The sequence below is a fragment of the Homo sapiens genome, chromosome 7 (assembly GCF_000001405.40).
Source record: "Homo sapiens chromosome 7, GRCh38.p14 Primary Assembly".
NCBI classification, from domain to species: Eukaryota; Metazoa; Chordata; class Mammalia; order Primates; family Hominidae; genus Homo; species Homo sapiens.
The window spans coordinates 144,352,950-144,380,947 of NC_000007.14; the positions used below are offsets into that span (position 1 = coordinate 144,352,950).

Below are 27,998 nucleotides of genomic sequence, written 5' to 3' on the forward strand. Positions count from 1 at the left end.
GAAGCAGAAAGAATAGCCAGGCTGGTTCAGGAGGCAGTTCTGGTACCTCTGACCCCATTGCCCACCCCCAGTAGGCAGCATGAAATATGCCAGAGGTCAACAATTTTTTTTTTTTTTGTATTTTTTAGACAGAGTCTCACTCTGTCACCCAGGCTGGAGTGCAGTGGTGCAATCTCAGCTCACTGCAGCCTCTGCCTCCTGGGTTCAAGCAATTCTCCTGCCTCAGCCTCCCAAGTAGCTGGGAATACGTGCCCACCACCAAGCCCAGCTAATTTTTGTATTTTCAGTAGAGAAGGGGTTTCGCCATGTTTGGCCAGGCTGGCCTCAAATTCCTGAACTCAGGTGATCCACCGGCCAAGGCCTCCCAATGTGCTGGGATTACAGTTGTGAGTCACCGCACCCGACCCAGAGGTCAACAGCTTCTGCCCTAGATCAGAAGTTTACTCACTTTGCTCACTCGGTATAAATCAAGGACCCTCTCATACCTGGGAATGAGTTTTGTATTCCAGCCTAGAAGTAGAGCCAGTCCCAGTTTGAACTTTTTGCCTTTCTGTACTCCCAGTTCTTACCCTTTTGCTGAGCCTAGGACACATGCAAGGCCTGCCCTTCTTAATCCAGATTTTTGAGTCTTAATCCCAATTTTTCCTATAGTTTCCCATACACTCCATGGCAGCTTAGAGTAGGCTGAAAACTGCTGAACTGTTTAAGACTTAATCCTTCAGAGTAACATGGCAGAAGTAGCACACTTTTTTAACATAAAGCTGTTCAGGACTCTATTACAGAAGAGGCTATACTTCCTTAATTACATTCTATTCTACAGCCACCTCAAAATAACTAGTGAACACGTTCAACCAGGATCATTGGCAACAGCCAATGGGCACAGTGATCTGGAAATGGTCTAGCCAAGCTGTTTGGGCTGTAGACCATGGCATTCCTAAGAGCAAAATAGGCAAGGAGTCCATTAATATTTCACTTGACTTATGTCACCATGGAAACCCCTGGAGTAGTGAATGGCTTTGGGGAGTGGTCAGATTCAACCAAAAATAACAGAAATCTCTGTCCCCCAGGTAAAGGATTCCTACTTTGTGTGTGTCTGTGTGTGCACACAGGCACACTCGAGAGACTTTTGGCATTCTTTGAAGTCACTGGAGGGGCACAGAGATAAACCCACTCAGCCTTGGCCTCCAAGACTAACAGAACACAACGTTTCCCTGAAAGAATAAAAAAAAAAATACAGGCATAAGAAAACACACAAACATGGGCTTAGAGATTTAAATACACACACACACACACACACACACACACACACACAGGCCCTAGAAGGAACATACACCCTGAGATACGCACTCATTCTAAAATAAACTCGGGAATACAGAAGGACACGGGCATGTCCTTTCAGAGAGGCACACTTCTAGGCCCTAAGTAGGAGAAGGAAGAGGGGAGAGGAAGAGGCAGGGAGAGGGACAGGGAGGGGGGAGGAGGGAGGGAGAGAGAGAGAGAAACGAAGAAGGGGGCGGAGGAGGAGATGGAGGAGACACTCTTTATTCTATAGGAGGAGACATCACGGAAGAGAAATCAACACTGAGGCCTTGGCCGGGCGCGGTGGCTCACGCCTGTAATCCCAGCACTTTGGGAGGCCGAGGCGGGTGCATCACCTGAGGTCAGGAGTTTCCAGACCAGCCTGGCCAACATGGCGAAACCCGGCCTCTACTAAAAAATACAAAAATTAGCCGGGCATGGTGGCGCGGACCTGTAATCCCAGCTACTCGGGAGGCTGAGGCAGGAGAATCTCTTGAACCCGGAGACGGAGGTTGCAGTGAGCCGAGATCGCGCCATTGCACTCCAGCCTGGGCAACAGGGCGAGACTCCGTCTCAGAAACAACAACAACAACAACAACAACAACAACATCAACAACAACAACAACAACAACGAACAAACCAAAAACCAATGAGGCCTGAAGATAAAGACACATGTACAACCACGGATGTCAGACTTCCAGAGGCACGGCCAAGGCAAAAGACAAACACATACAGACTGCAGCAGGCAGACAGGCCGGTTCCAGAGTCAGGCTCCGGTGAAGCTCCGAAGAAACAAACACGCAGGGAGATTTCGGAGGCGTCCGAGGACACCGTGGGGCCCGGCTGGCTCCCTCTGTCTCTGTGCGCGCCCCTTCCCCGGGTCACCCCGCCTGCGCCCGACCTGCGCCCGCGCACCGCGCCCTCGGGGCTCCCTGGGACAGCCCGCGGCCTGGCCCGTGCGCCCGGGCTCCCCTCCCCGCCGGCCCGGCACTTCCCAGCTCTGACGCGGGAGCTTCTTTCACACCAATGGGGCTCGCGCGCGGAGGGGCCCTGCCCCTCCTCCGGGAAGGTGTGTCCCTGTTTCCTCACCTGAAACTTCCTAGGAGAACCCGATCCCTCCCTCCCGTCGGGCGGCCAGGGGCGGGCCGCGGGTGGGGCGGCCGGGCCTGCGCTGGGGACGGCTCTGGGGACTGCGGCCGGCGCCGGGACCTGGAGGGGACGCTGGGGCCGAAGCAGCATGTGACACCGACCAGGTGGGTGCCCTCCTCCCGTCTCGGCCCTGGGCTCCCGGCGGCTGTGGAGCCCGGCGGAGGTGGGGCAGGGACAGGAAGGAAGAGGAAGCCAGGCCTTTCCCAGGGATCAGCCCCCGCTGGGTCCGGGGCGCAGGCTCCGGAAATGGGGGGGCTGGGCCCGCAGGCAGGGCTCGGGGTGTGTGGCTGAGGACCCTGGTGGGGAAGAGGAGAGGAACTAGAGGAAATGTTGTTGCCTACAAGTTTGCTTCCGGTCGGGTCCCGCCTAGGAAATGGGCACCCTGCCCCCAGACGTTCCCCGGGCCAATAATCAGGGCTCTTTCTTCAAAGTAGGCGCCCTGGGGAAAGCTAAGCCATATCAGAAGGAATAACTGAGATTCCCTTTCTAGGCTGTTCCTTACCTGGAGAGGTTTTATCGGCTCCTTTTCCTTAACCAGGCCGGGGCCTTTCCTTATGTATCTCCATAGGTATTTGCATACTGTGTGAGTCTATGTGTAGCTTCTCTCCGTGTTAACCAAAGCTCCGTAACCTGGAACAGTGAATCCTGCCCTGCCCCTCACCCCAGTTCCCTACATATGGGGAGCCTCCTAAAGCTTGATGTGAATCACAACGTTGCATTCTTAGCAAGGTGGAAAGAAGTTATTTAGAGTTGGGGGCTGAGGTAGGCGTTGGGGTGCTAGAATGCGGACGCAGAGCTCTAGAACCCCTGAGCATCTTTTGCAGTTGCCTTCCGGCAAGACTACCGGAGGAGAGCCAGTTGTGATACTACGTCATTTCCAGATCTCAGTCCCTTTCTTCCCTTCCTGGATCTTGGGTTCCAAAGACAGATTTGCCCTCCTGTCTACCTAGAAGTGAACTCTGGCCAGGACTCTTGTCTGGTTGAGAGAGAAGGGTGTGTCAAACAGATGAGAGAGGGTGGTTTTCCTTTCGAGCTTCCTCCCTAGCTTGCTCCCCTACTGCACTCCACTGTCTGGCCTTGCATCTTGGGCCTAATCCAGAGGTCCCAGCTCCAGCTAAAAAGCTCTTGATGTGGCCTCTGTCTCAGACGTCTTGTTTTATCCACATTTGGAGCATGAAGAAGTTCCTGGCATAGGCCTTAGCAAAATGGGTGTCATTTGTTAACCAATCTGTGGGCCTAAAAGTGAAGCCATGGCTAGTGAAGGAGTCCTGGGGAGCTGGGAAGATGGGATGAGGGCGTGTCAGTTCTGGGTGAGACTGATATGCAGGAGGAATGTATGTCATGGTCCTAGTGGGGAGGAGAGAGAAATCAGGAGGAGTGCAAAGGAATCCCTCTCATCAACAGAATATAGTGATTCTCAATAGAGAGAAGAGTGTTCATATATTAGAGGTCCTGAGAGTGTATCAGTGCCCTTAACGCGGTCTGTCTGAGGTTCCGTGGCCACGTTACACGTGGTGTCTGTGGGATAGACAGGAATACGTCATTTGTGGTGTCTGGAGAGGTCAGTCGCTATGTGGTATGGACAGGAATGGAGTCACTCGTAGGGTCTTGGGTTCAACGGGAGCAGCATTACTCAAGTGTCAGTGGTGTAGACAAACAGGTGACCAACAGCTCTAGTGTAGACAGGGGCTGGGTCACTCACAGTGTCTGTGGAGTAAGCAGGAGCCGATCACTTATAGTGCCTGCAAGGTAGACTGGAACAAAGTCACCCTCAAGGTCTGTGTTAATACACAAACACGTCACTCACACTAATGTTATCTGTGTGTATGCCACCAGGACCACAGATGAGATTGTAGAGTGTAAGTCAGCATTGACACTAATAATGTTCTTATATAAACTATCTGGTCTATAAGGCAGTTGGTGTGACATTTTCAGACATTAGAGAATAGATAAATGTGTATTACAGCTTTCACTGGCATGGTGGGACTTTCCTGCAATGGATAGAACACACACTGTAGTAGTCAGTGGTCCAGAAAGCTACCCCTGTTTTGATATCTTTGTAGTATTGAGGGCAGTGATGTCAAACAGTGAATAAAGTTATATATCTATGTGGTGATCTTATTTTAACCTCAATATTATTTTAGTGATTTGTAAGTCAGAATATTTGAAATCAACCTTGCTAGAAAATCCAGGAAGCATGGTCCTCAAAAATATATATATGGCACTGAGTCTCAGTTCAAAGATTTGGCAGTTTGATTGGGGAGGGGTTGTATCCTTGAAATACAGTGTTGTTTCTAGTGACTAGAAATAGACAAGAGCTAAGGTGTTGGGGGGGGCTCTAGGGAAGATAGTGAGCTCTGTCACACATTATGTTAAAGGGATGACTTGAAGCTTTGCCTCTCAAGAAGTCACACGTGGGTGAGGTTATGTGGATGCAGAATGTCTGTGGTCTGAAGCAAGGCCGTATCCCCATAATCCCATGCCCTGGCTTTGCCTGTACACAGATAAACAGTGATTATTCACCCTCAGTGGAGAAGGAGATGAGGATGTTTGCACTCTAACGTAATGAGCATTGCAAAAAACTCTCTCCTGATGCCTTTACGTGAGTAAGACCATGATTTACAGATTTCCTTTCACTTTGTCACATTTTAGCTTTGTCATGCCTGATTGCAACGGGATCACTGAGATAGGATCAAGTATAGGGAACGTGGGGTATGTTCTCCCTTTGCGGTAACTGGTGGCTGAGCAGGTGACCACTGATATTTCCAAATGAAAAAAGACAGTTAGAAACGGTGTCAATGGGCTTGCAGAGGCAGGCATGCACTGTGCCACTAGATTGGAACAGAAAATGTCCAGGTAGCACATGGTATTTATAGATATACCCTAGATATGGCAGAAACACACTTTTATTTAGAGGCTACTTGTTTTGAAGACGTGATGGTGTATATGGAGGAGAGGGCCTGAACCATGCAGATGTAAGTGAGGAGAGACTACAGGTTTAGTCCCATGGTCTCCTTAGGCCAAGTTTCAGAAAGTGTCTTAAAGTAAGCAAGTATATTATTCGATGTGTGGTTGAGAGAACAGGGCCACATCACAGAATCACCCATAGGGATTATAGTATTTTGTACTTAAGGGCTAGACATAGGGAGCCAATCGCATATGGTGTCAGTTAACTGGAAAAGGACATAAAAGTCCTTCTGCCTGTGTACAATTATGTCAGACATATCTCTTTGCCCCATATAGATGGTATCTCTGTCTCTGGGATGGCCAGAATCTTGTCACATACTACTCTGCAGTGTGCTAGGGACCTGCCTGTTTGGTTATGTCAGGCTCTATTGCAAGAGTTTGTAAGGATGGCTCAGTGTGTGTGTGTGTGTGTGTGTGTGTGTGTGTGTGTGTGTGTGTACACACACAGTGGCTAAGCAGGACAGTATTCTGAGCAGGTGAGTTTTCAGTTTAAGCCTGGACCAGACAAGAAAGGTGCACGGTCAGGTGCAGCATTGGGTCCATAGAATTCTGGGGTCTTCTCTGGACTGATGGCCTGCCAGCTTTCTTTCAGTAGGACCTCTAAGTGCTTACAGGAGACTTAAGTCAAGCGACTTTGCTTCAGGTTTGCCCATACCATTTGCTTAGGAGATTTGAGCAAGGGTCTAGGGTCTTTGACCTTTAGTTTCTTCATCTGTAAATTGAGCAGTTTCTGTGTGTCTCTGAAGGTCCTTCCGGCTTTATGAATCCTGTGTTTCTCTCTTACACTTATTCTCTGTCTCTCAGGTCAACAGTATTTACCACAGCCACCATTTCTATGACCCTTAAAGATAGCAGTGTACATTTTTATGTTACCTTATTTAATCTTTACTAGAACTGTGAAGGAATCCTTTTATCTCCTTTTTAAAGATAAGAAAATGGATGTTCAAATAAATTTAATGGTTTCTACAATTGTCTTAAAACCAGCAAAGATACCAGAGAGGCACAACCAAACACTGATCCACACTCTTCTAACTCTATATTCTTCCGTCATTCATTCATACGATACATCTTTGTTGAGGGCCAACTAGGCTTCAGGCAGAGGGGGTTATATGGCAGTGTTTGTCCCTTCATGGTGCTCATAATCTAGCCTGGAAAATAGACATTAAATATGACATGACAAGTGCAAGGTGTGTTTGAGGAGAAGCAAAGGATTCTCTGTTGCAAAAGAGGATTCCAGGCAGAGGAGCAGTGTCTACAAAGGCCTACAGGTGAGAGACACAGAGAGAAGTGAGCTAAAGACACTGAAAGCCAGTGGGAGAGGGGGGGGATGGGGGCAGGGACAGATGGTGACAGGTGAATAGGCTGCTAGAGAAGAAGGCAGAGCCAGGTTGTGCAGGGAGTATAACCCATGCTGAAGATTTAGATTTCATCTCAAGAGCATTCAGAGGCTGCTGAAGAATCTAAGCTAGAACTGGTGCTTTTGAAGCTCACTTAGGTGCTGTATGGAGAAAGGACTGGAATAGCGTGAAATGGGTGGAGGCCAGTGCCCAAGCTGTGGCCGGGTGCAGTGGCCCGGGCGAGACGGTAGCAGCATGCACCAGTGGAGAGGGATGGGATAGAAGTGGACAGTCTTAAGGGATATTTAGCAGACGAGGTCAATAGCACATGGTGATTGATTAGATATGGGGAATCTGGGCCAGGAGGGAAACAAGAATTTTATTTTATTTTAATTAATTAATTTATTTATTTAGAGACAGAGTCTCACTCTGTCACCTAGGCTGGAGAGCAGTGATGTGATCTTGGCTCACTGCAGCCTCTGCCTCCTGGGCTCAAGGGATCCTCCCAGGATCCCTCTCCTGCCTCAGCCTCCCGAGTAGCTGGAACTACAGGCACGTGCCACCATGCTCCACTAATTTTTGTATTTTTTGTGGAGACAGGGTTTCACCAGGTTGTCCAGGCTGGTCTCAAACTCCTAGATTCAAGCAATCAACCTGCCTCAGCCTCCCAGAGTGTCAGGATTATATACATAAAGTGCATTGGGAAACTCAGTTTTTCATCTGTAAAATGGGCAGAATAATGGTACCCATCTTATACGATGACTCTTAGATGTATGGCACATACATATTTAAAGAAGCATTTCATTATTTTTAATGACATGTATGCAGGAAAACCTTAGTGTTTCAGAATGAAAAATAAGAAAAATTAATTTGTTGTGTATAGAGCTCTAAATGTTTAAAGTTCTGTGTAAACTGTTAATCATGATTTTAGGAAAAGGTGGGCATATTCCATTGAAGTAAAAGGATCACATTTTATTCTGACCTGAATTTTATTCTTTATGTGAAAAATATTTATTAAACACTGAGTATAGGCCACTATTAGGCTAAGTATGGATAATTCAGCAAGTCATAGTTCTTAATCTCATAAATTTTACTATCTATTGGTTGCAATAGAGGGTAACTCAAAATACACACATCATTATATAATTATAATTGTATAAATGCTACAAAGGAAAAGTAAAGAGAATTATAGTTGGTAAGTGCTACAAAGAGGGGTACAATTTAACCTAGTTAAAAGATCAGGGGAGGCCAGGTGTGGTGGCTTACGCCTATAATCACAACACTTCGGGAGGCCGAGGCGGGTGGATAACGAGGTCAGGAGATTGAGACCATCCTGGCCAGAATGGTGAAACCCCGTCTCTACTAAAAGTACAAAAATTAGCTGGGTGTGGTGGCACACACCTATAGTCCCAGCTACTCGGGAGGCTGAGGCAGGAGAATGGCTTGAACCCGGAGATGGAGGTTGCAATGACCCAAGATTGCACCACGGCACTCCAGCCTGGGTGACAGAGCAAGACTCCATCTCAAAAAAAAAAAAAAAGAAAAGAAAAAAAAAAAAAGACTGGAGGAAACTGAAGGGGTAAAACCAGGAAAATGTAATACCACAAGTAACAAGAGAGTATTTCTAACCTCAGTACTGTCAAATACTGACAAGAACCACCCAAAATGAAGATCCATAAGGTCTTCTTTGGAATTAACAACATGTCGATTGTAGGGAATATTGGCAGAATGCCGCTATCAAAGCTCAGTTGGAGGCAGGTGGGATGTGAGAGTATGAAGACAGCAGATAAGAGCAACTCCTTCTAGTCATTTGAAAGATGAGAAGAATGTGGGAATGCTTCCATACCCCAGGGGTTGTTCAGCAGGGATGTTGAAGGTATGAGTGCACAGTGTTCCTGGGGAAGCAGGCAAGAAATGACAGAGCATGGAAAGGAGGGATACGTCTTTTCCTGACTGAGGGCGGAAGATAGAAAGAGTGGAAATACAGGTTGCTTTGGATCGCAAGAAATTGAGGTGAGAGAAACCCAGTTCCATCAGTTTCTATTTTCTTTGCAAAATAGGAGATGAGGTGTTCTGCTGGAAGTGAGAAGAAAGGCAGGAAGGTCGAAATCAAAAGACAGGAAGGTCAAAAGAATTAATGAGAAGAGTTCATATGGATACTGAGGCCAAGGGGAGAGTAAGGTGATGCAGAAAGCACCCTTCTGTGGTCTTCCTTCAAGGTGGTAATGTGTCTAGTTCAACACTAATCCAATAAGGCTGTTATCATCCCACTTTACAACAGCTGCCTCTAGAATTGGAAACAAAACTGTTAGTTACAATGCTGTAGTAGACACTATGGAAAACAGAAAGATGAGTAAACTCCAAACCCTCTGTAAAGAAGATGAAACCATAGCACCTCACACATTGGCTATCATAGCCTGGCCTATTTTAACTGATGTCCACAGCTTAAGAGGAAGACCCTCTCCTGACACTGCTTCTCTGGCCTAATAGATCTGAGGTGTGTCCCTTGCTGTGTCTGGGGGTTATATGAGGATGAGTCACTCCTAGTGTCCGAAGAGTAGACAGGGAGAGACAGAAGATGACATAATGGAGTCTAGAGAGAACTGACAACTGGGAGCTTCTGGGCACTCTCTGACAATGGTCCTCTGCTATAATTTAATTGTTCATTATGACCTGTTTCCCTCACAAGACCACAGTCTCCATGACGACAAGATCTTTATCTCATTCACTACTGAATGCCCCACACTTAACAGGGTCGCTAGGAAAATATTTATGAAATAAATACATCAATGACAAGTTTTTTAGAGGCTATTGCTTATTTTGTTGAGAACCTGTTGTCTCAAAGAATGACCCTAAATGGAACCAAATAAATGCATCACTCTTCTTTTTTATGGTCTCTTCCTCTGATAGGTAAAAGCAGAGTTGTTAGAAACATTTGTCTTTGATTCCTCCTTAGGATTCAGCCCTGATGGAGGCTGAGGAGGCCCAGCGTGGAGCCTCTCCTCCCATCTCTGCCATAGAGGAATTCAGCATTATCCCTGAGGCTCCCATGAGGAGCAGCCAGGTCTCTGCCTTGGGGCTTGAAGCTCAAGAAGATGAGGACCCATCCTATAAGTGGAGAGAGGAACACAGACTCTCAGCAACTCAGCAGAGTGAGTTAAGGGATGTGTGTGACTATGCGATTGAGACGATGCCCTCTTTTCCCAAGGAAGGTTCTGCAGATGTGGAGCCCAATCAGGAAAGCCTTGTGGCTGAGGCCTGTGACACTCCGGAACACTGGGAGGCAGTACCCCAGAGCCTAGCAGGCCGACAAGCAAGGACTCTAGCTCCCCCAGAGCTCTGGGCCTGCCCCATTCAGAGTGAGCATCTAGACATGGCCCCATTTTCCAGTGACCTGGGAAGCGAAGAAGAGGAGGTGGAATTTTGGCCAGGACTTACTTCTTTGACATTGGGATCTGGACAGGCAGAAGAAGAAGAGGAAACCTCTTCAGATAACTCTGGTCAGACCAGATATTATTCTCCCTGCGAAGAGCATCCTGCAGAGACCAACCAGAATGAAGGCTCTGAAAGTGGGACTATCAGGCAGGGGGAAGAGCTGCCACCTGAGGAGCTGCAGGAAAGTCAAGGGCTCTTGCATCCCCAGGAGGTCCAAGTTCTGGAGGAGCAGGGACAGCAGGAAGCAGGATTTCGGGGGGAAGGAACTCTGAGGGAGGATGTTTGTGCCGATGGGCTATTAGGGGAGGAACAGATGATAGAGCAGGTTAATGATGAAAAGGGAGAACAGAAGCAAAAACAGGAACAGGTACAAGATGTGATGCTTGGGAGACAAGGAGAAAGAATGGGGCTCACTGGGGAGCCAGAGGGTCTGAATGACGGTGAGTGGGAGCAGGAGGATATGGAGAGGAAGGCTCAGGGTCAGGGAGGTCCAGAACAGGGAGAAGAGAGGAAGAGGGAGCTGCAGGTGCCAGAAGAGAATAGGGCGGACTCTCAGGACGAAAAGAGTCAAACCTTTTTGGGAAAATCAGAGGAAGTAACTGGAAAGCAAGAAGATCATGGTATAAAGGAGAAAGGGGTGCCAGTCAGCGGGCAGGAGGCGAAAGAGCCAGAGAGTTGGGATGGGGGCAGGCTGGGGGCAGTGGGAAGAGCGAGGAGCAGGGAAGAGGAGAATGAGCATCATGGGCCTTCAATGCCCGCTCTGATAGCCCCTGAGGACTCTCCTCACTGTGACCTGTTTCCAGGTGCCTCATATCTCATGACTCAGATTCCCGGGACTCAGACAGAGTCCAGGGCTGAGGAACTGTCCCCCGCAGCTCTGTCTCCCTCGCTAGAGCCCATCAGGTGCTCTCACCAGCCCATTTCTCTACTGGGCTCCTTTTTGACTGAGGAGTCACCTGACAAGGAAATAGATCAAAACAGCCAGCAAGAGGAATCCAGGCTGAGGAAGGGAACAGTGTCCAGCCAAGGGACTGAGGTGGTCTTTGCCAGTGCATCTGTGACTCCTCCAAGGACACCAGATTCAGCTCCTCCCAGTCCTGCTGAAGCCTACCCCATCACACCTGCCTCGGTATCTGCCAGGCCCCCAGTTGCCTTTCCCAGGAGGGAAACCTCTTGTGCTGCACGTGCTCCAGAAACTGCCAGTGCCCCTCTCTCAATGGATGACCCATCTCCCTGTGGGACTTCTGAGATGTGCCCGGCTGCCCTCTATGGCTTCCCCTCCACCGGGACCAGCCCTCCGAGGCCCCCAGCCAACTCCACAGGCACCGTCCAGCACTTACGGAGTGACTCCTTCCCTGGTTCTCACAGGACAGAGCAGACTCCAGACCTGGTGGGAATGTTGCTTTCCTACTCCCACTCAGAGCTGCCCCAGAGGCCCCCCAAACCTGCCATCTACAGCTCTGTGACCCCAAGAAGGGACAGAAGGAGTGGTAGGGACTACAGCACCGTTTCAGCATCCCCTACTGCCTTATCCACGCTGAAGCAGGACTCTCAAGAATCCATCTCAAATCTAGAGAGACCCAGCAGTCCTCCCAGCATCCAGCCCTGGGTCTCCCCACATAATCCAGCCTTTGCCACAGAGTCTCCCGCCTACGGTTCTTCCCCATCCTTTGTCTCCATGGAGGATGTGAGGATCCACGAACCTCTGCCCCCTCCTCCCCCACAGAGGAGGGACACCCATCCCTCCGTGGTGGAGACAGATGGCCATGCTCGTGTAGTGGTTCCCACGCTGAAGCAGCATAGCCACCCTCCTCCATTGGCCCTAGGTTCAGGGCTGCATGCCCCCCATAAAGGCCCACTTCCCCAAGCCTCTGACCCCGCTGTGGCCAGGCAGCACCGACCTCTGCCATCTACCCCAGACAGCTCCCACCATGCTCAGGCCACCCCCAGGTGGAGATACAACAAGCCGCTACCCCCTACCCCTGATTTGCCGCAGCCCCACCTTCCTCCCATTTCTGCTCCTGGTAGCTCAAGGATCTACAGGCCTCTACCCCCACTACCCATCATAGACCCTCCCACCGAACCACCCCCATTGCCCCCAAAGTCCAGGGGGAGGAGCAGGAGCACTCGGGGAGGACATATGAACTCAGGGGGTCATGCCAAAACAAGACCTGCTTGTCAAGACTGGACAGTCCCCCTCCCTGCCTCTGCTGGACGCACCTCCTGGCCCCCGGCCACAGCTAGATCAACAGAGTCTTTCACTTCCACCAGCAGGAGTAAGAGCGAAGTGTCCCCTGGCATGGCTTTCAGCAACATGACAAACTTCCTATGCCCCTCTTCCCCTACCACTCCCTGGACTCCGGAGCTCCAGGGACCCACCTCTAAGGATGAAGCAGGGGTCTCAGAACACCCTGAGGCCCCTGCGAGAGAACCTTTGAGAAGGACAACCCCTCAGCAAGGAGCCAGTGGCCCAGGGAGGTCACCTGTGGGCCAAGCAAGGCAGCCAGAAAAACCCAGCCATCTGCACCTGGAGAAGGCGTCCAGCTGGCCCCACAGGCGGGACTCAGGGAGGCCACCAGGGGACAGCAGTGGACAGGCTGTGGCTCCTAGTGAGGGGGCCAACAAGCACAAGGGCTGGAGCCGGCAGGGCCTGCGCAGACCTTCCATCTTGCCTGAGGGCTCTTCAGGTGAGCAAGAACCGGGACCACAGTGACACATCAGACCAAGCTTTTCCCAGCTCTTCCCACCTCATCCCATCTTCTGTCCCTAGGGTTCCTAACATTCTCTCTGCTGGCTTCGCTCACATGTGTGCCTAACCTCAACACAGAGAGAGCCCCGAAGTGCCCTCCAAGCTCCTTGGGATGCTCTTCCTTCTTCTTCCCCTCTATCTCCCTGTCTCTCCCTCAACCAGCACCTTCTTTGGATGTCCCAAGGTTATTTTGGACTCCCTTCTACTCTTCAGTTACAGTCCCTGCTTGCTCTCCTCCTGGGGAGTAGAAAAGGCCTTCTGTACTTGTCCCAGTCCCATCCTGACCCGTGGCTCGGGACGTCACTGGTACTGATCTCTTTCACGCTCTCTGCTTTGCCACTTTCTTCCCTCCCAGTTTCCCAATAAAGCCCATTTTCCCTTCTGGACCCCTGCATCTCCTGCTCTAGATCTTCTTTGGCTCTCTCTATCCCTCTGAAATCTCAGTTATCTTCCCCATTTCCACTTTTAGATTCAAGAGGTCCAGCCGTGGAGAAACATCCGGGACCCTCAGACACTGTTGTTTTTCGGTAAGTCACCCTCTCCCCTAACAGCCACACTGTACTCTCTTCACTTGGGATACTGAGAGTCCCCTAGTGAGGATTTCAGTTGATAAGGGTTCTGAGACCCCGAATGGCTCATTCCTGTTTCTTCTTGGTGTAAGGAGGAGAAGAGAGAGATGCCGGGATGCCAGCTTAGGGAGATTGTCTTTATCTACCTCATTCGGTCAGCCGAGCCTACGAGTCATCCATCTTCCCAAGCCCTATGGCTGTGAACTAAACCCCACAAAAGCTCCATGTTAGCCCAAGTGGGTCAAGTTGCAACTCTGTGCCTCTCCGGGGGATTTGGTCTTGACATCCCAGCACACATCCCAGAGGCTAGAGACTTTGTCCCCCACAGTCACCTGGGGTGCTCTGTGTCTAATGGCCAGTAGGTACCCCAGAGCCCTTCTTTACTCCACAGGGAGAAAAAACCAAAGGAGGTGATGGGAGGCTTTTCAAGACGCTGCTCCAAACTCATCAACTCCTGTGAGTACCTTGAAGTGGAACTATAGAACCAGGTGGGCATTCTGCCCAGCACTGGAGAGGGGCTTGTGGATGTCAGCAGTGGGGTGGGGATGTCCCTAGCGAGAAGGCATTGCAGAAGATCTGTTTCCCTGCCTCCGCTCACCGTCCCTTCTTCCTGCTTCTCTTCCTTCCCATGCTTCTTTGCCCTGCAGCCCAGCTGCTTTACCAGGAGTATAGTGATGTTGTCCTGAATAAGGAGATCCAGAGCCAGCAGCGGCTGGAGAGCCTGTCCGAGACACCCGGGCCTAGCTCTCCGCGGCAGCCTCGGAAGGCCCTGGTCTCCTCCGAGTCGTACCTGCAGCGGCTCTCCATGGCCTCCAGCGGCTCCCTCTGGCAGGAAATCCCCGTGGTGCGCAACAGCACCGTGCTGCTCTCCATGACCCATGAAGACCAAAAGCTGCAAGAGGTACTGGGCAGGCCACGGTGGGGAGGGGGCTACAGAAAAGATGACAAGGTCTTGTTTGCTAGCATCCTTCTCTCCTGCTCACCACTGCCACCAAGAGTCGGCTGTCCCCACCACACAGGCGCGTGTACATGCCACAGCTGTGGGTCATGTCCATTCTGAAGAAGTTGAATTGTTTTCTGGATTTCACCACCTCCCCTTTCATCCTCACCTCCTCATGCCATAGGCCACTTGCTCCTACCTGATGTTGGTCTGGGCTATACATGGTGGCCATTGCCTCTGAATTTGTGTGGAGGAATGTGGAGTTAATCCCATCATCACTGCTGTTTCAGGGTAGAGGAAAGCTTCCCTGTTCAACCAGGGTTTCAGGCTACACTACAGTTTTCCTCTTTAGCCAAGGCACATTCCGGGGCTCTTTGTTGGGTCCCTTGAAGAGGGCCCTTTGCAGCTGTCCTGTGGTCCATCAATCTAACAGGGGCCTTAGAGTGATCATCAGTCCCTGCTTGATTGTTACTCCCAACAGCAAGACTGAACTAGAGGCTGTTTGTCTGATTCTAAGCTATTACCATTAGTAAGTTTTACATGGAGAGCGCCTCTTATTAATTTGTCTGAAATATGGGGTAAAACCTTTCTTCCCAGAAAGACAGTATGGAACAATGGAATAGAATAATGTTTAAGAAATTAGGTTCTGGAAGAAATGACCTGGATATGAAAACCACTTTTTTTTAAAATTATTAATTTATTAGAGACAGGGTCTTGCTCTGTCACTCAGGCTGGAGTACAGTGGTACAATCATTGTTCACTGCAGCCTCAACCTCCTGGGCTCGAGCAATCCTCCCGCCTCAGCCTCCCAAGTAGCTAGGACTACAGGTATGTGCCACTATGCCTAGCTAATTTTTTAATTTTTTGAAAAGATGGTGTCTCACTATGTTGCCCAGTTGTCTCGAGCTCCTGGGCTGAAGCAATACTCCCGCCTCGGCCTCCCAAAGTGCTGGAATTACAGGCATGAGCCACTGAGCCCAGCCCCAGAGCCCACTTTAATATTTCCAATTTACCTTTGGCCAAATGACATTTGTAAAACTGAGATACAAACAGTTACTGCAAGGATCAAGAAACATGAATGCCTGGTACATAGTAATTTCTCAAAAAATGTTGACTTTTCATTTTAAGTAAGCCAGACCTAGGTTTGAAACATGACTTCACCATTTGCTAGCTTAGGCAGCCTTATAACATCACTAAATCTCAGTTTCCTCACTTGCAAATTGAGGATAATAATGCCTACCTTTCAGGGTTGCTGAATGGTTTAAATGAAATAATGCATATCTAATTTAGCAGTAATATTTGATGTATAGTTTGATAAATATTAGTGCCGTACTCTCTGCCTTTCAGAGGCAGGGAGGAGTAAAATTTGGGCCAGGAGGACTTATGGACAGACAATGCTTTTACCAAGTCAGAGAGAGAATACATTTTTAGACTTTGCAAAGTTCAGACTTGAGAGCCCTGTTGTGGCTGCAAATTTTTAAGCACAGAGAAGATATTTAGAAAATAACTCATCTTCCCCATATTTGTTGACCAAACAGTGGGAGATGACACGAGTTCTAGCTCTCTTTTACCAACTCCAGCATGCTGGGAAGTCCAGCAGGACTCCTATTCCAGCCCTGGTCTCATGTTTGTGAGAAGAAAGGGCTTTACATTTCTATCTCTTAAACACACATATTCATTTTATAAAGTAGTACCTCTGGGGTTCACAAAGTGCTTTCACAGGCTCCATTTCTTTCAACTGTTGCATCTTCCACAGTGAGATGGGGGTCACTATATCCACATAAAAGGACACGAAAAGTGAGATTCAGAGAGGTTAAATGAGCCACCCAAAGTCAGTCGTGTAGTGAATGTTAGAGCAAGGATGCAAATGAGCCTTCAGTGTCCCTGTTCAGGGTTGTTGTATGGGAGGGTCATCTGGCTGTGTCATTGGTCATCCAAGTCATCACCAGGGTGTGTCTCCTTTCTCTTTTCTATCCAGGCATCTCTCTTGAGGCCACATGCTTGGATGAAAAGCATGAGGAGCCCAGCTAGAGGCACGGTCATGAGTCATAGCGCCCCCTGCTGGAACCTCCAGACAAGTTCTCACATGCTGGGCATGCATTAAACCACAGCTGCGCCATCTTGTTCTCAGATATCCTGCTTCTGTCTCCTGCTTCTCGCGCCATCTTGTTCTCAGATATCCGGCTTCTGTCTCCTGCTTCTCATCTGTCCTCAAACCTCAAACTGAGCTCATCACCTTCATCCCCTAAATCTATGCCTTTTCAAAGTTCTCTGGCTCAGTAAATGACTCCATCATTCACCCAGGTGCCCGACTCAAAAAGCTTTTGCTGTGAGTACAAAACATTAGCTTTGAACCTTCCTTCTCTTTGAGGCCCCATTTCTAGCAAATAATCCAACCCTTCCAATTCTACCTCATAAATAATTATAAAATTAATCTACTTCTCTTCAGCTCCATGGCTATTCAGACCTTCATCTCTCATGTGGAATTATTACAACAGTTTCTTAACATGGATGGCTTTTGCTTCTTTTCATCTTTTCTTCTCATTCTGCTTAGAAATAACTTTATGAAAAACAGGCTGGGCGCAGCGGCTCACACCTGTAATCCCAGCACTTTGGGAAGCCGAGGCGGGTGGATCAACTGAGGTCAGGAGCTTGAGAACAGCCTGGCCAGTATGGTGAAACCCTGTCTCTACTAAAAATACAAAAATTAGCTGGGCGTGGTGGTGCATGCCTGTCATCCCAGCTACTCAGGAGGCTGAGGCAGGAAAATGGCTTGAACCTGGGATGCGGAGGTTGCAGTGGGCTGAGATCGTGCCACTGCACTCCAGCCTGGGTGACAGAGCAAGACTCCATCTCAATTCCAAAAAATAAAAAAAAATAACTTTATATAAAACAAATGTGGTCAAGTTATTCTCCTATGTAAAGCCTGTTTTCATTGTCCCATTGTCTTAAGTCCAAACAATTTTACATTGTTTACATTACCCTTCAGGCCTCCTCGACTGCTGCAGCTTCATCTCTGGCCACTACTGCTGTACACTTGGTTCAAAAAATGCTCAATTTATTTAGTTTAGTTAGTTTGTTTGTTTGTTTTGAGATGGGGTTTCACTCTGTCACCAGGCTGAAGTGCAGTGGTGCAATCTGGGATCACTGCAACCTCACCTCCCAGGCACAAGCAATCCTTCCGCCTCAGCCTCTCAAATAGCTGGGACTACATGTGCACGCCATCACATCCGGCTAATTTTTGTATTTTTTGTAGAGACAGGGTCTCTCTACGTCGCCCAGCCTGGTCCTGAACTCCCAGACTCAAGTGATGCACCCACCTCAGCCTCCCAAAGTGTTGGGATTACAGGCGTGAGCCACTGCACCCAGTCTATTTAGCTTTTTTAATATAAATTTCATTGTGTATATTAAAGATATACAACATGATGTTATGGGCTACATATAAATAGTAACAGAATTACCCTAGTGAAGCAAATTAACATATCCATCTCACTTTGTTACTCATTTTTTGTTCTTGTTTTTGTTATTTAGATTTCTTGAAAGCATATTTTTCTTTTATACCTTTGAAGGCCTGTACCTGTACCCTAGATTAAATCCTACTCAAATGCTCTTCCCCTCCCCGCAGATCAACTTAGGTTCTGGTGTGACTGTGAACCATAAAAGGATCTTGCTCACTGCTCTATCCCCAAAACATTACACAGTGGCTGGCATATTCCAGGGGGTAAATAAAATCCTTAATTAATCTTCCTCATCTCCAACCTCCTAGGTCAAATTTGAGCTGATTGTGTCAGAGGCCTCCTACCTGCGCAGTCTAAACATAGCTGTGGATCATTTCCAACTTTCAACTTCACTCCGGGCCACACTTTCCAACCAGGAGCACCAATGGCTCTTCTCTCGTTTACAGGATGTGCGAGACGTCAGCGCCACGTGAGACTCCCCTTCTCCTAAATACCACTCACTCAGCCTCACTGTTGTTAGGCTTTAAATGTTCCGTTATTTTTTTCCCCTCTTAGAAACCCTTTCATTTTCACAGTTATGGGAAGAAATTGGGCCTCAGTTTCTTCCATGATTCCCGATGGTTATAGGAAGAAGAATGGCAAGAAGAGGAGAGGGTCTGTGGGTGGATAGATCCATTAATGGATAAGTAAATGAGCAATGCTTCCTGGGTTGAGGTTTTGGATTACTGTGGTCATGCACTGCATTGGAGATGAGGTGGAAAAACCATCTAAAGATCAGAAAACCTGAACAGGGTCAAAAGAAGAATGAGAAATGGAATATTAGAATAAAAGTGTTAAATCAGGCTCAAACTCAGGACAGTTTTGGAGCGAATTCTAGTGCATAGCAAGGAGCACAGAGCAGAGAGTCAATAGAAGTTATTGGCTAATGGAGTGAAGAAGTCACCAGCTCAGTGTACACCAGGGGCCAGTCAGCTGTTTAGCTGAGGTCCAGAAGTCTCATGAGACTCGTTTAAATCCTGTACAGGTTCCTTTCAGACCTGGAAGAGAACTTTGAGAACAATATCTTCTCCTTCCAAGTATGTGACGTAGTCCTGAACCACGCCCCAGACTTCCGCCGGGTCTACCTGCCTTATGTCACCAACCAGACCTATCAGGAACGCACCTTCCAGAGCCTGATGTGAGACTCATCCCCCATTTAATCCCCATGTAGGCCCTGAGGTGACCATGCACCAGTCCCCAGCCCAGAGGGCTATCCCAAGAGCACACTTTCCCCATTCCGCCCTCTGTATTGGTTACCCCAGCATCACATCTGAGCGCCCTGTACATCAGCTCCCACCGCTCTTTCCCAGCCCACAGATACTCCACTGACCTCCCTTCCCCGCACCTTCACTGCATCCCCCATTGCTCCCCATATCCCCCCTCCCCTAAGGCTCACTCTCCGTGCAGGAATAGCAACAGCAATTTCCGGGAGGTCTTGGAGAAGCTGGAGAGCGACCCCGTCTGCCAGCGCCTTTCCCTCAAGTCCTTTCTGATTCTGCCCTTCCAACGCATCACCCGCCTCAAACTGCTGCTCCAGGTAGGGCAGATGCTACCTTGATCCTCTCCCCTTAACTCAAAGGGATGCCCTCAGGAAGACCCACAACAAAGGACCAACCATTCTTCTGCCAGGTGTCCACATCCTGTCTCCCTGCTGCCCACTGCCTGCTTGCTTGGAAATATTTGCTGCTAAAATGTGGTCCCTGGGCTTCTCCATTCACCAGCCCCCAATCATTTCTTCCTGTTTCCCATTTCTTCCTCCCATCTCACTCCTGCCTACTGTCTGTTCAATAGAACATTCTGAAGAGAACACAGCCTGGCTCCTCGGAGGAGGCAGAGGCCACGAAGGCACACCACGCCCTGGAGCAGGTAGGCAGCCACCACCTCCACTCTGACCCTCTGTGTGTTCTTCTCAGAGAGGTCTTTCCCACCTAGGCCCATGACTCCAGGGAGCATGGGAGGTGGGACCCTGTTGGGAGAGCTCAGCCACCTCCCTGCATCCGCCAAACTTCCAAACATACACACCCCACGGCCACCTCTCCCACGCCGAGCACACTCCACATCAAGGGACTGTGCCCTCTCCACCATCACCCCCCCATTCAGTCTCACTTTTACTCAGTTCAGGAATGTTCTGCCAAGTCATACAAAGTTGCCTAGGACTTGTGCTTGATACTGCCTGCCCAATTCCAGCCTGGGAAAAATGACTGAGGCTGTCATAACCTATTTCCAGATTGCTTGCAAGGGACTCAAAGGTCAAAGCCTCTAACACAGTGCCCTTCCCCTTTCCTCACTCTCTGCACCCCTAGCTGATCCGGGACTGCAATAACAATGTCCAGAGTATGCGACGGACAGAGGAACTAATCTACCTGAGCCAGAAGATTGAGTTTGAGTGCAAAGTGAGTCGGTCCCATGCACCCCATCCCTGCCCATGAACTCCCTTAACATGTCCTGCAGATCACCCCCTAACCTGGAACCACCTTGCTCACATTATCCCCAGCCCCTCCCCTCATTTCTGCCCACCTTCTATTCTGTCCTATTTCTGGGAGGCCTACTTGGGTCTCCAAGACATACTGCTAAGTGAAATGATGAAGGTAAAGAATTGTGTGTATATTATATCACCTTTGGTATAAAAGTGGGAGGATACAAATCTATACAGGTGTCTGCTTGTGTGTGCATAAGGAAACTCTGGAAGGAGAACAAGAAAAAAAGGAACAGTGGTTACCTGAGGACAAGGGGGGTGCATTTGAGAAATGGGCAAATGAGAGAGAACTTTTCAGGATGAGCCTTTATAAAAGAATGTTTTGGTGCTTGATTCATTTATTACTTTATCAAATCTCTTTCTAGTCTAATCAAACCCACATAAGATTGGATCCAAATTTAGAGCCAGCATCCCTCATTGAAATACAAATCTAAAATAGACATTCCACATTCAAATTCCAACTTAGAACAGATACTATCTTTTTTTTTTTTTTGACAGAGTCTCACTCTGTCGCCCCAGGCTAGAGTGCAGTGGTGCGATCTTGGCTCACTGCAACCTCCACCTCCCAGGTTCAAGCGATTCTCATGCCTTGGCCTCCCGAGTAGCTGGGATTCCAGGTCTGCACCACCATGTCTGGCTAATTTTAGTATTTTTAGTAGAGATGGGGTTTCACCATGTTGGCCAAGCTGATCTCCAACTCGTAGCCTCAAGTGATCCACCCACCTCTGCCTTCCAAAGTGCTGGGATTATAGGCGTGAGCCACCACGCTCGTGCTTAGAACACATACTATCTTTACACTCCTGAAAAAGAAGGAAAATCCCTTATTCACATACTAAGCATAGACCACACCCTCATCTTTAACCAAATTCCAGCTCCAAGACGCCCCACCTAGTTCTTCTCACCCCCATGTTTGATTCCAGCTGCTCACATATCTCTGGTATAAAAAATGGAATTGATACCAGACCTGCCTCTAATATTTTATTTTAACCTCTAAGACACATATAGTGTTCACTGACTTGTTCCATCACATACCCTGATTGGACTCTTCCATCCCTCCTTCAGTTCAGGCTTCTAGGGCAGAGCTGTCCCACACACTCACTATCCTGAGTTGGACCATAGGCATCTTCTATTTACCTGAGCATACAACCATGGGAGCCACACACCAGTGGACAGTGGTAGTTAGAGGGTTCAGAGAGAAAGAGAATCTAAGTGATGGGTTATGAGCCAGAAGGCAGATGTGGAAGAGATGCTTGTTCAAGTGGAACTTGCATGGAAGTGGCATGGGGAGGAGGGTGGGACTGGGAGCAAACCTCATGCTTCTCCCATCTGTGACACTGCCTTCTCTCTCTTCCTCTGCCCTGTAGATATTCCCGCTCATTTCTCAGTCACGCTGGCTGGTGAAAAGTGGGGAGCTGACAGCCTTGGAGTTCAGTGCTTCCCCAGGGCTACGAAGGAAGCTGAACACGCGTCCAGTCCACCTGCACCTCTTCAATGACTGTCTGCTGCTGTCTCGGCCCCGAGAGTCAGTGACTGGAGTGGCAGGCCAGGGCACAAGAGGGGAAGGGGATGAGGAAAGAGGGGGGTCTGAAAGGGAGAGAGAAGGGTCATGTTCCTAGAAGAGCCCTTCTCAATGGCTTAACCCATAGAGCCCAGGTCATAGCCTAGAGAAGAGAAAAACAAGCCCAAAGCAAAAAGGGGATCCCATCAAACTGTATCATGAGACCACATAGCAGGACATGTAATATGGTATAGACACAGAGCAAAATGTAGCAAATTAGCTTATCACATTCTCACATGAGTCTATTTGTGGCTTCTTTGGACTGGCCTCAACCTGCTATTCTAGAGATACTTAGCTAATTCCAGAGCTTAAGTCTCTGGTCTTAAGGTTCTTGGGAAATGTATATAAATTCCATCTCTTCACCTCTTTAAAGTGGTAATGTATCCACTGCACTAGGTGTGTGGTTTGCCAGACTAGGACAAATCCCTGAGGACCCTGGAGCTACCATCTTGGGAGCAAGTTAGGACCATCTTATGGTTTTTGTGGGAATTTGCAGGCTGTAGATGTAGGGATTTCGAACCCAAGGTTATGAGGGTAGGTGAAGTATGGAAACTCTAGAATCAGGTTGAAAAGATTTGTATTTTGCAGGGGTAGCCGATTCCTGGTATTTGACCATGCTCCCTTCTCCTCCATTCGGGGGGAAAAGTGTGAAATGAAGCTACATGGACCTCACAAAAACCTGTTCCGACTCTTTCTGCGGCAGAACACTCAGGGCGCCCAGGCCGAGTTCCTCTTCCGCACGGAGACTCAGTGAGATGGGGCTGGGCAGAGGAGCTGGGGGTGGGGGAAGATGGGCAGCCGAGAAAAGAAGTGAGACCAAGGCAGAAAATGTGTCCAGAAGACAGCCACAGCCTCATTTAGCCCATTCTGGACTGGGGACCACCATAGAGAAATTCAGACTCCTAAAACTAATGGATAACTTGCAGGAGATTGGGGTGGGAGAGGGTACAAAGTCACCACCGAGGCTTAGCATCTATTTTATACTCTTTACTCAAGAGGGACAAGGTCTGTGTAGTATCAGAAAGGAGAAGGACTGGTATGGAGTGAGCAAGGAATTGGAATACTGGTATCTGTGAGCACATGCCTCCATGCCTGAGGCAGAAACCCTTCTATGCCCCAGCTGGTGGGCACAGATGTGAATAAGACAAGTGCTGGGTGACTTTTACTTTCTGTGCTCCCATCTTCCAAACCAGTCCTCTATTGACCAGAAATCCATAGTGTTGAGAATGCTGATTTGCTCATGTTTTCAATAATAATAAAATAAAATACATTCACACAGACATACATTTTTGAGAGTATTAATAGTACCTATAAAATCTGGAACACAGTGCCTGCAATAATGAACATGTAAAAGCCTGTAGCTGTTATTGCTATTATAAAAGATATATGAACAGTCATTTAAAAGTTTGACGTATCTAAGTGTTTGAGGATCCCTATGTTGTAGACACTTTTTCAGTTTTGTCCCTTGGAAGATACTTCAGAGTGGGACCGATAACACCTGTTCTCATTTATTGAACAGAAGGACTAGTATCGGAGTTTGTGTGCAAAACAGCACATAAGTCAAATAATCAGGTGCAGATGCATGTTGTTGGTTTGGTGCTTTGGGCACTGTGCCTGGAACAGTAATAGTCCATTCCCAGTTACCTAGGCACAACTGGGCACAGAGGCTAACAGAATGCAGAAACCTTCAGATGATTACAAACCTAAGCTTGGATTACACCGTGCAACAACAACAAATAAAACAGTAGACATATCTCCCTGATCTAATTATTATTATGAAACAATGATCATCTCTGAGATAGTTAGTTGAAGGGAGATAGGCAAGCGAGTGTCAAGAATCATGCCAAATGATGGAGGGAATCTAAACTGAAATGAACACTTCGCTTAGCACAATTTCCAAAACAGAAAATCTCCAGACTTTATGACTAATGAACATTACGCCCCAACTTGGAAGATATGAGAAGCCATTAGGAGGATAATTCTGGAAAGAGAAGAGGAAAAGTAAAGTGTGACAAGACACATTCACATATAGTTCAAGATTGTGTCATGTTTCCAACCAAAAAGAGTCCTATATAGTGTTTGATAGAAGTCATGGAACTAGATAAGTCCTTCCCACAGTCTTTTGCCATCCCCATCCTTGGCCCTCCTCCTACACCCCCACAATTGATGCTATGACCCTGCTTTGTTTTCTCAGAAGTGAAAAGCTTCGGTGGATCTCAGCCTTGGCCATGCCAAGAGAGGAGTTGGACCTTCTGGAGTGTTACAGTGAGTGAGGGTCTAAGAGGGAGAGAAAAGAAAGCAGGGTCAGATGTCACCTTTGGATACAGGAGTTTAAAGGGCTGGGTGGGAACTCTAGGCTTTCATTTATTGATATTCCGTAAAATGTCAGGGTGGAAGATTGGCCTCTAGAGCTTAAAAACCTGAAATATATCGCCTAAAACTGCTCATCACTATGGCAGTCCCCCTTCCCCATACATTCCCTTCCTTGGGCAATAGTTTGCTCTTTTTAAAAATATTTGTCCCCTTAAGTCTAAGCTGACATTATTTTGCCTAGATTTTACCTGCTTGAAGGTCTTGTTGGGGTAGGGGAAGAAAGCCTGACGGTGGTAGAAGGTGTGCAGGAGGATAGCACCCCAGATCTATCTTGACCACACCTAAGAGGATGACCTGAGGTCACCTACCCCAGGCTTCTGGGTGCCCATGGGGAGCCACAGGCACACACACATTATGTATGTGTCTGTGTTCACACCAAGACTGGACTTCTTATGCCTCTCATGTCAGCCCCACAGTTGTCCTCCAGCAAAGATTCCCTAATTTAAATCCAGAGAGAATCTGACCTCAACCCTGGACCTTTAGTGACTGAAAAGAACAAACAACTACAAGGAACCCTGGGAATGAAGTAGGAGAGCCGTGTAGTAACTGAACGCTGTTAACTTGCTCACTGTGCACTCCATCTGCTGGCTTCAGTTCCCCAGTGGGTGAGGAGGGCAGGAGCATTCTTCCTCCTTCATTTTGACCTTGTGAATGGCAGATGGGGAGGATCTTGAGAAAGCAAATAGTAATGCAGTATTCCATTTATTTTACAAGAGAATCAAGGCAGTGTAGTAACAAAAAAGAGCCATAAACCCACATATGATGGAATACTGATAGGTGAAGCATTCTCTGAGGCTTGTTTTCTTGAGCTTCAGATCTATGGACATGTCTCCTGGTTCTCAAAAACATAGAAATAGAGAAATCTTGAATGTCCTCAAGATTCATCTGATCAACCTTGATCAATAACCATCTTGATCACTGATAGATGAGTAAACTGAAGCTCCAGGGCTTTCAGTCTCTGGCTTAGGTCAAACCTGGGACACCACTAGTTAAGTCTTTCTTGGTTCCACATCTGGTACTGGGAAGAAAATGAAGAATAAGACACAGACTCAGATTTTATAATCCAGTTGGAGAGGCAAAACACGTCCATGTAGCAGTTAAATAAGGGATAAATGCCTTGGCATGAACAAGCAGTCTTAAAAGAGTTCAGAACCCATTGAAGACTAGAGTCAGGGACGGTTTCAGAGGGAAGATGGGTCATTAGCTGGATCTCAGGTATTTGAGATGATCACATGTATTTCTCAACCCGTCTCCTCTGGAGAAGTGGAATTTTTGGTCCATTTCATTTCTGGTATGTCTATTTCTTTATTAACCATTTTCAAATTTCCTCTTTTGTCTGTGACTTTCAACAGCCCAAATCTGTCTCTATCTCAAGTCCTCCCACGCCACCCCCCTCCAAGTCCCTGTCTGTGTTCCAATCCCCTGCCTCTCCTAACCTCTCTTCACACTCTTCTCTTCCAAAGACTCCCCCCAGGTACAGTGCCTTCGAGCCTACAAGCCCCGAGAGAATGATGAATTGGCACTGGAGAAAGCCGACGTGGTGATGGTGACTCAGCAGAGCAGTGACGGTAAGCGGGAGCATGCGTGAGCAGCAGGCCAGGCACTGCAGGCAGGGCAGTGCTGGGAGTGTGTTCACTTCCTGCAGCTGCCATGACAAAGTACCATGGACTGGGTGGCTTATGGCAACAGAAATGCATTCTCTCACAGTTCTGGAGGCAAGAAGTCCCAAATCAAGGTGTGGGCAGAGCCACGCGTCTTTTGAAACCTGTAGGGAAGATCCTTCCGTACCTTTTCCAGTCTGGTAGCCCCAGCTGTTCCTTGGCTTGTGGCAGCATCCCTCCAATCTCTGCCTCTGTCTTCCTGTGGCTAGCTGCCTTCCTGTGTCTGTGTCCAAGTTTTCCTCCTTTATTTTTTTATTTTATGTATTATTATTATTTTTGAGACAGAGTCTTGCTCTGTTGCCCAGGCTGGAGTGCAGTGGCGCAATCTTGGCTCACTGCAACTTCCAACTCCTGGGTTCAAGTGATTCTCCTGTCTCAGTCTCCCAAGTAGCTGCGTGAGCCACCACACCTGGCTAATTTTTGTATTTTTAGTAGAGATGGGGTTTCACCATATTGGTCAGGCTGGTCTTGAACTCCTGACCTCAAGCAGTCCACCCACCTCGGCCTCCCAAAGTGCTGGGATTACAGGCGTGAGCCACCACGCCCAGCCCAAGTTTTCCTCCTTTATATAGACACCTGTTATACTGGATTAATGGCCACCTTACTCCAGTATGACATCATCTTAACTTTATTAATTATATTTGTGGCAACCTCATTCCCCATAAGGTCACATTTTGAGGTATAGAGGATTAGAACATCAACATAAATGTTAGGAGGGACACGATGCAACCATAACAGTGGTGAAGGCTCAGGAATGGACAGCTGTAGACTTGGCCACACCCAGGGCCGCCATGTTAGGACACTTGGAGGCTGGGTTTATGCTGGAGGCTCCCCAGTTCACTCAGCCTGAGGATTCAGAAAACTCTCCAGGAAGGTGATCCAGAGAAGCTATCGTGAGCCTTTCCCAGGTAATTCTTCCCACTCACCCTGTGCCCACAGGCTGGCTGGAGGGCGTGAGGCTCTCAGACGGGGAGCGAGGCTGGTTTCCTGTGCAGCAGGTGGAGTTCATTTCCAACCCAGAGGTCCGTGCACAGAACCTGAAGGAAGCTCATCGAGTCAAGACTGCCAAACTACAGCTGGTGGAACAGCAAGCCTAAGTCTTCTCTGAGAGGAGTTTCGTGAGCTGAAGAACAAGCTGCTCATGGCAAGGGCTGGCCCCAGAACCCTGCAAGAGAGGCCTTCTGTGGATGGAGAACTAGGCCTTCTCAAAGCTCAAGGACAAAATCCAGCTAACCCAGTCCCTCGGCCCAGGCCTCCTTTCGTGCTTTGTGCTTGGTGGGGGGGATTTCGAGGGACTTTGCACTGGACTCTGGGAACCTTTCATCATTAAAAAAAGGGGGACCATTGGGGCCTGAGCCAAGGAACTTTCCTTCTACTGCCTTATAGTGCTTAAACATTCTCCGCCTCCAGGGTGCAGATTCAGAGCTGGCCAGAGTTTCAGTGATAGCCGTATGTTAAACAGAATCTCACCTCAGTCTCCTGGAGGGAGATGTTTAAGAGGGGTTAACACATCAGATGGGAGGGTCAGCCCGGTGACCTCTAAGGTATCTTCTAACCTAGAAATTCACCATAATTATGGTGCAAGGTCAGTGTGTCTCTGAGATCTATGTCTGTTGGTGGCAATGTGAGGGTGATACTCTCTCACTCTAATAAACTTGGCACTTCTCCGAGTATTTTCTTCTCAAACTCCTCAGCACTGAAAAAGGTTCAAAACATGGAATCCCGAGAGTTCCTGCCTGTTGGGTTTAGGTGTCATAAAAGTCTAAGGTGGTGCATAGGTGATGGCAGTTCCTGACTCCTGCTTTCTGACCCCTGAGAGTTTGGACAGATTTTCTGCTTGTTACAGCTTCAAAGGTTGTAGAAAAAGTTAGAAGTAATTGATAGGTGATGAAAACCCCATCTTTGCTGTACCCATAAGGTATAGGTATAGACTAGTTTGGGTGGATTGGGCAAATCCGACTCGGACCATCCATGATTTTATATTGTGA

General features: G+C 48.3%; 1 protein-coding gene and 1 long non-coding RNA gene across 3 annotated transcripts in view, besides 3 other annotated features; one reads left to right on the forward strand and one right to left on the reverse strand.

Moving 5' to 3' along the window:
• Nucleotides 1-2,769, reverse strand: part of OR2A1-AS1 (OR2A1 antisense RNA 1) — a 117,146-nt gene extending 114,377 nt beyond the window's left edge. The window contains exon 1 of the long non-coding RNA NR_126023.1: nucleotides 2,389-2,769. This is a non-coding gene — a long non-coding RNA (OR2A1 antisense RNA 1). The remainder of the gene's footprint in view (nucleotides 1-2,388) is intronic.
• Nucleotides 233-732: an enhancer, noted in NCBI's record as "H3K27ac hESC enhancer chr7:144050275-144050774 (GRCh37/hg19 assembly coordinates)". NCBI's record gives its function as "activates a minimal SCP1, AML or CMV promoter by ChIP-STARR-seq in primed H9 embryonic stem cells {active_cell/tissue: H9 hESC(primed)}" and the evidence as "EXISTENCE:reporter gene assay evidence [ECO:0000049][PMID:30033119]".
• On the forward strand, nucleotides 2,453-27,683 carry ARHGEF5 (Rho guanine nucleotide exchange factor 5). 2 transcript variants are annotated; one of them, NM_005435.4, is made up of 15 exons: nucleotides 2,453-2,552; nucleotides 9,709-12,874; nucleotides 13,406-13,463; nucleotides 13,897-13,961; nucleotides 14,153-14,406; nucleotides 18,212-18,372; nucleotides 18,928-19,080; nucleotides 19,350-19,479; nucleotides 19,734-19,808; nucleotides 20,246-20,335; nucleotides 21,783-21,940; nucleotides 22,565-22,726; nucleotides 24,171-24,241; nucleotides 25,813-25,917; nucleotides 26,950-27,683. In NM_005435.4, the coding sequence occupies exons 2-15, from the start codon at nucleotides 9,721-9,723 to the stop codon at nucleotides 27,105-27,107; spliced, it is 4,794 nt and encodes a 1,597-aa protein (NP_005426.2). In that variant the 5' UTR covers nucleotides 2,453-2,552; nucleotides 9,709-9,720; the 3' UTR covers nucleotides 27,108-27,683. The 2 variants fall into 2 exon arrangements, with proteins under 2 accessions (NP_005426.2, XP_016868112.1); XM_017012623.3 differs by lacking the exons at nucleotides 18,212-18,372; nucleotides 19,350-19,479; nucleotides 19,734-19,808; ... (4 more) ...; nucleotides 25,813-25,917; nucleotides 26,950-27,683 and having other exon boundaries at nucleotides 18,928-19,043.
• Nucleotides 12,665-13,233: an enhancer, noted in NCBI's record as "H3K27ac hESC enhancer chr7:144062707-144063275 (GRCh37/hg19 assembly coordinates)". NCBI's record gives its function as "activates a minimal SCP1, AML or CMV promoter by ChIP-STARR-seq in naive H9 embryonic stem cells {active_cell/tissue: H9 hESC(naive)}" and the evidence as "EXISTENCE:reporter gene assay evidence [ECO:0000049][PMID:30033119]".
• Nucleotides 25,398-26,597: an enhancer, noted in NCBI's record as "BRD4-independent group 4 enhancer chr7:144075440-144076639 (GRCh37/hg19 assembly coordinates)". NCBI's record gives its function as "activates an origin of replication core promoter dependent on BRD2, P300/CBP, MED14 and CDK7 cofactors, and independent of BRD4, by STARR-seq in HCT116 cells {active_cell/tissue: HCT116}" and the evidence as "EXISTENCE:reporter gene assay evidence [ECO:0000049][PMID:35650434]".
• Nucleotides 27,684-27,998: the final 315 nt, after the last annotated feature.

Bases quoted from the DNA above. Each gene is read 5' to 3' on its own strand.
- ARHGEF5 (NM_005435.4), top strand. From the start codon at position 9,721: ATGGAGGCTGAGGAGGCCCAGCGTGGAGCCTCTCCTCCCATCTCTGCC. The intron at 14,407-18,211 runs GTACTGGGCAGG...CCAACCTCCTAG, and splicing joins AAGACCAAAAGCTGCAAGAG to GTCAAATTTGAGCTGATTGT. The intron at 22,727-24,170 runs GTGAGATGGGGC...TTGTTTTCTCAG, and splicing joins CTCTTCCGCACGGAGACTCA to AAGTGAAAAGCTTCGGTGGA.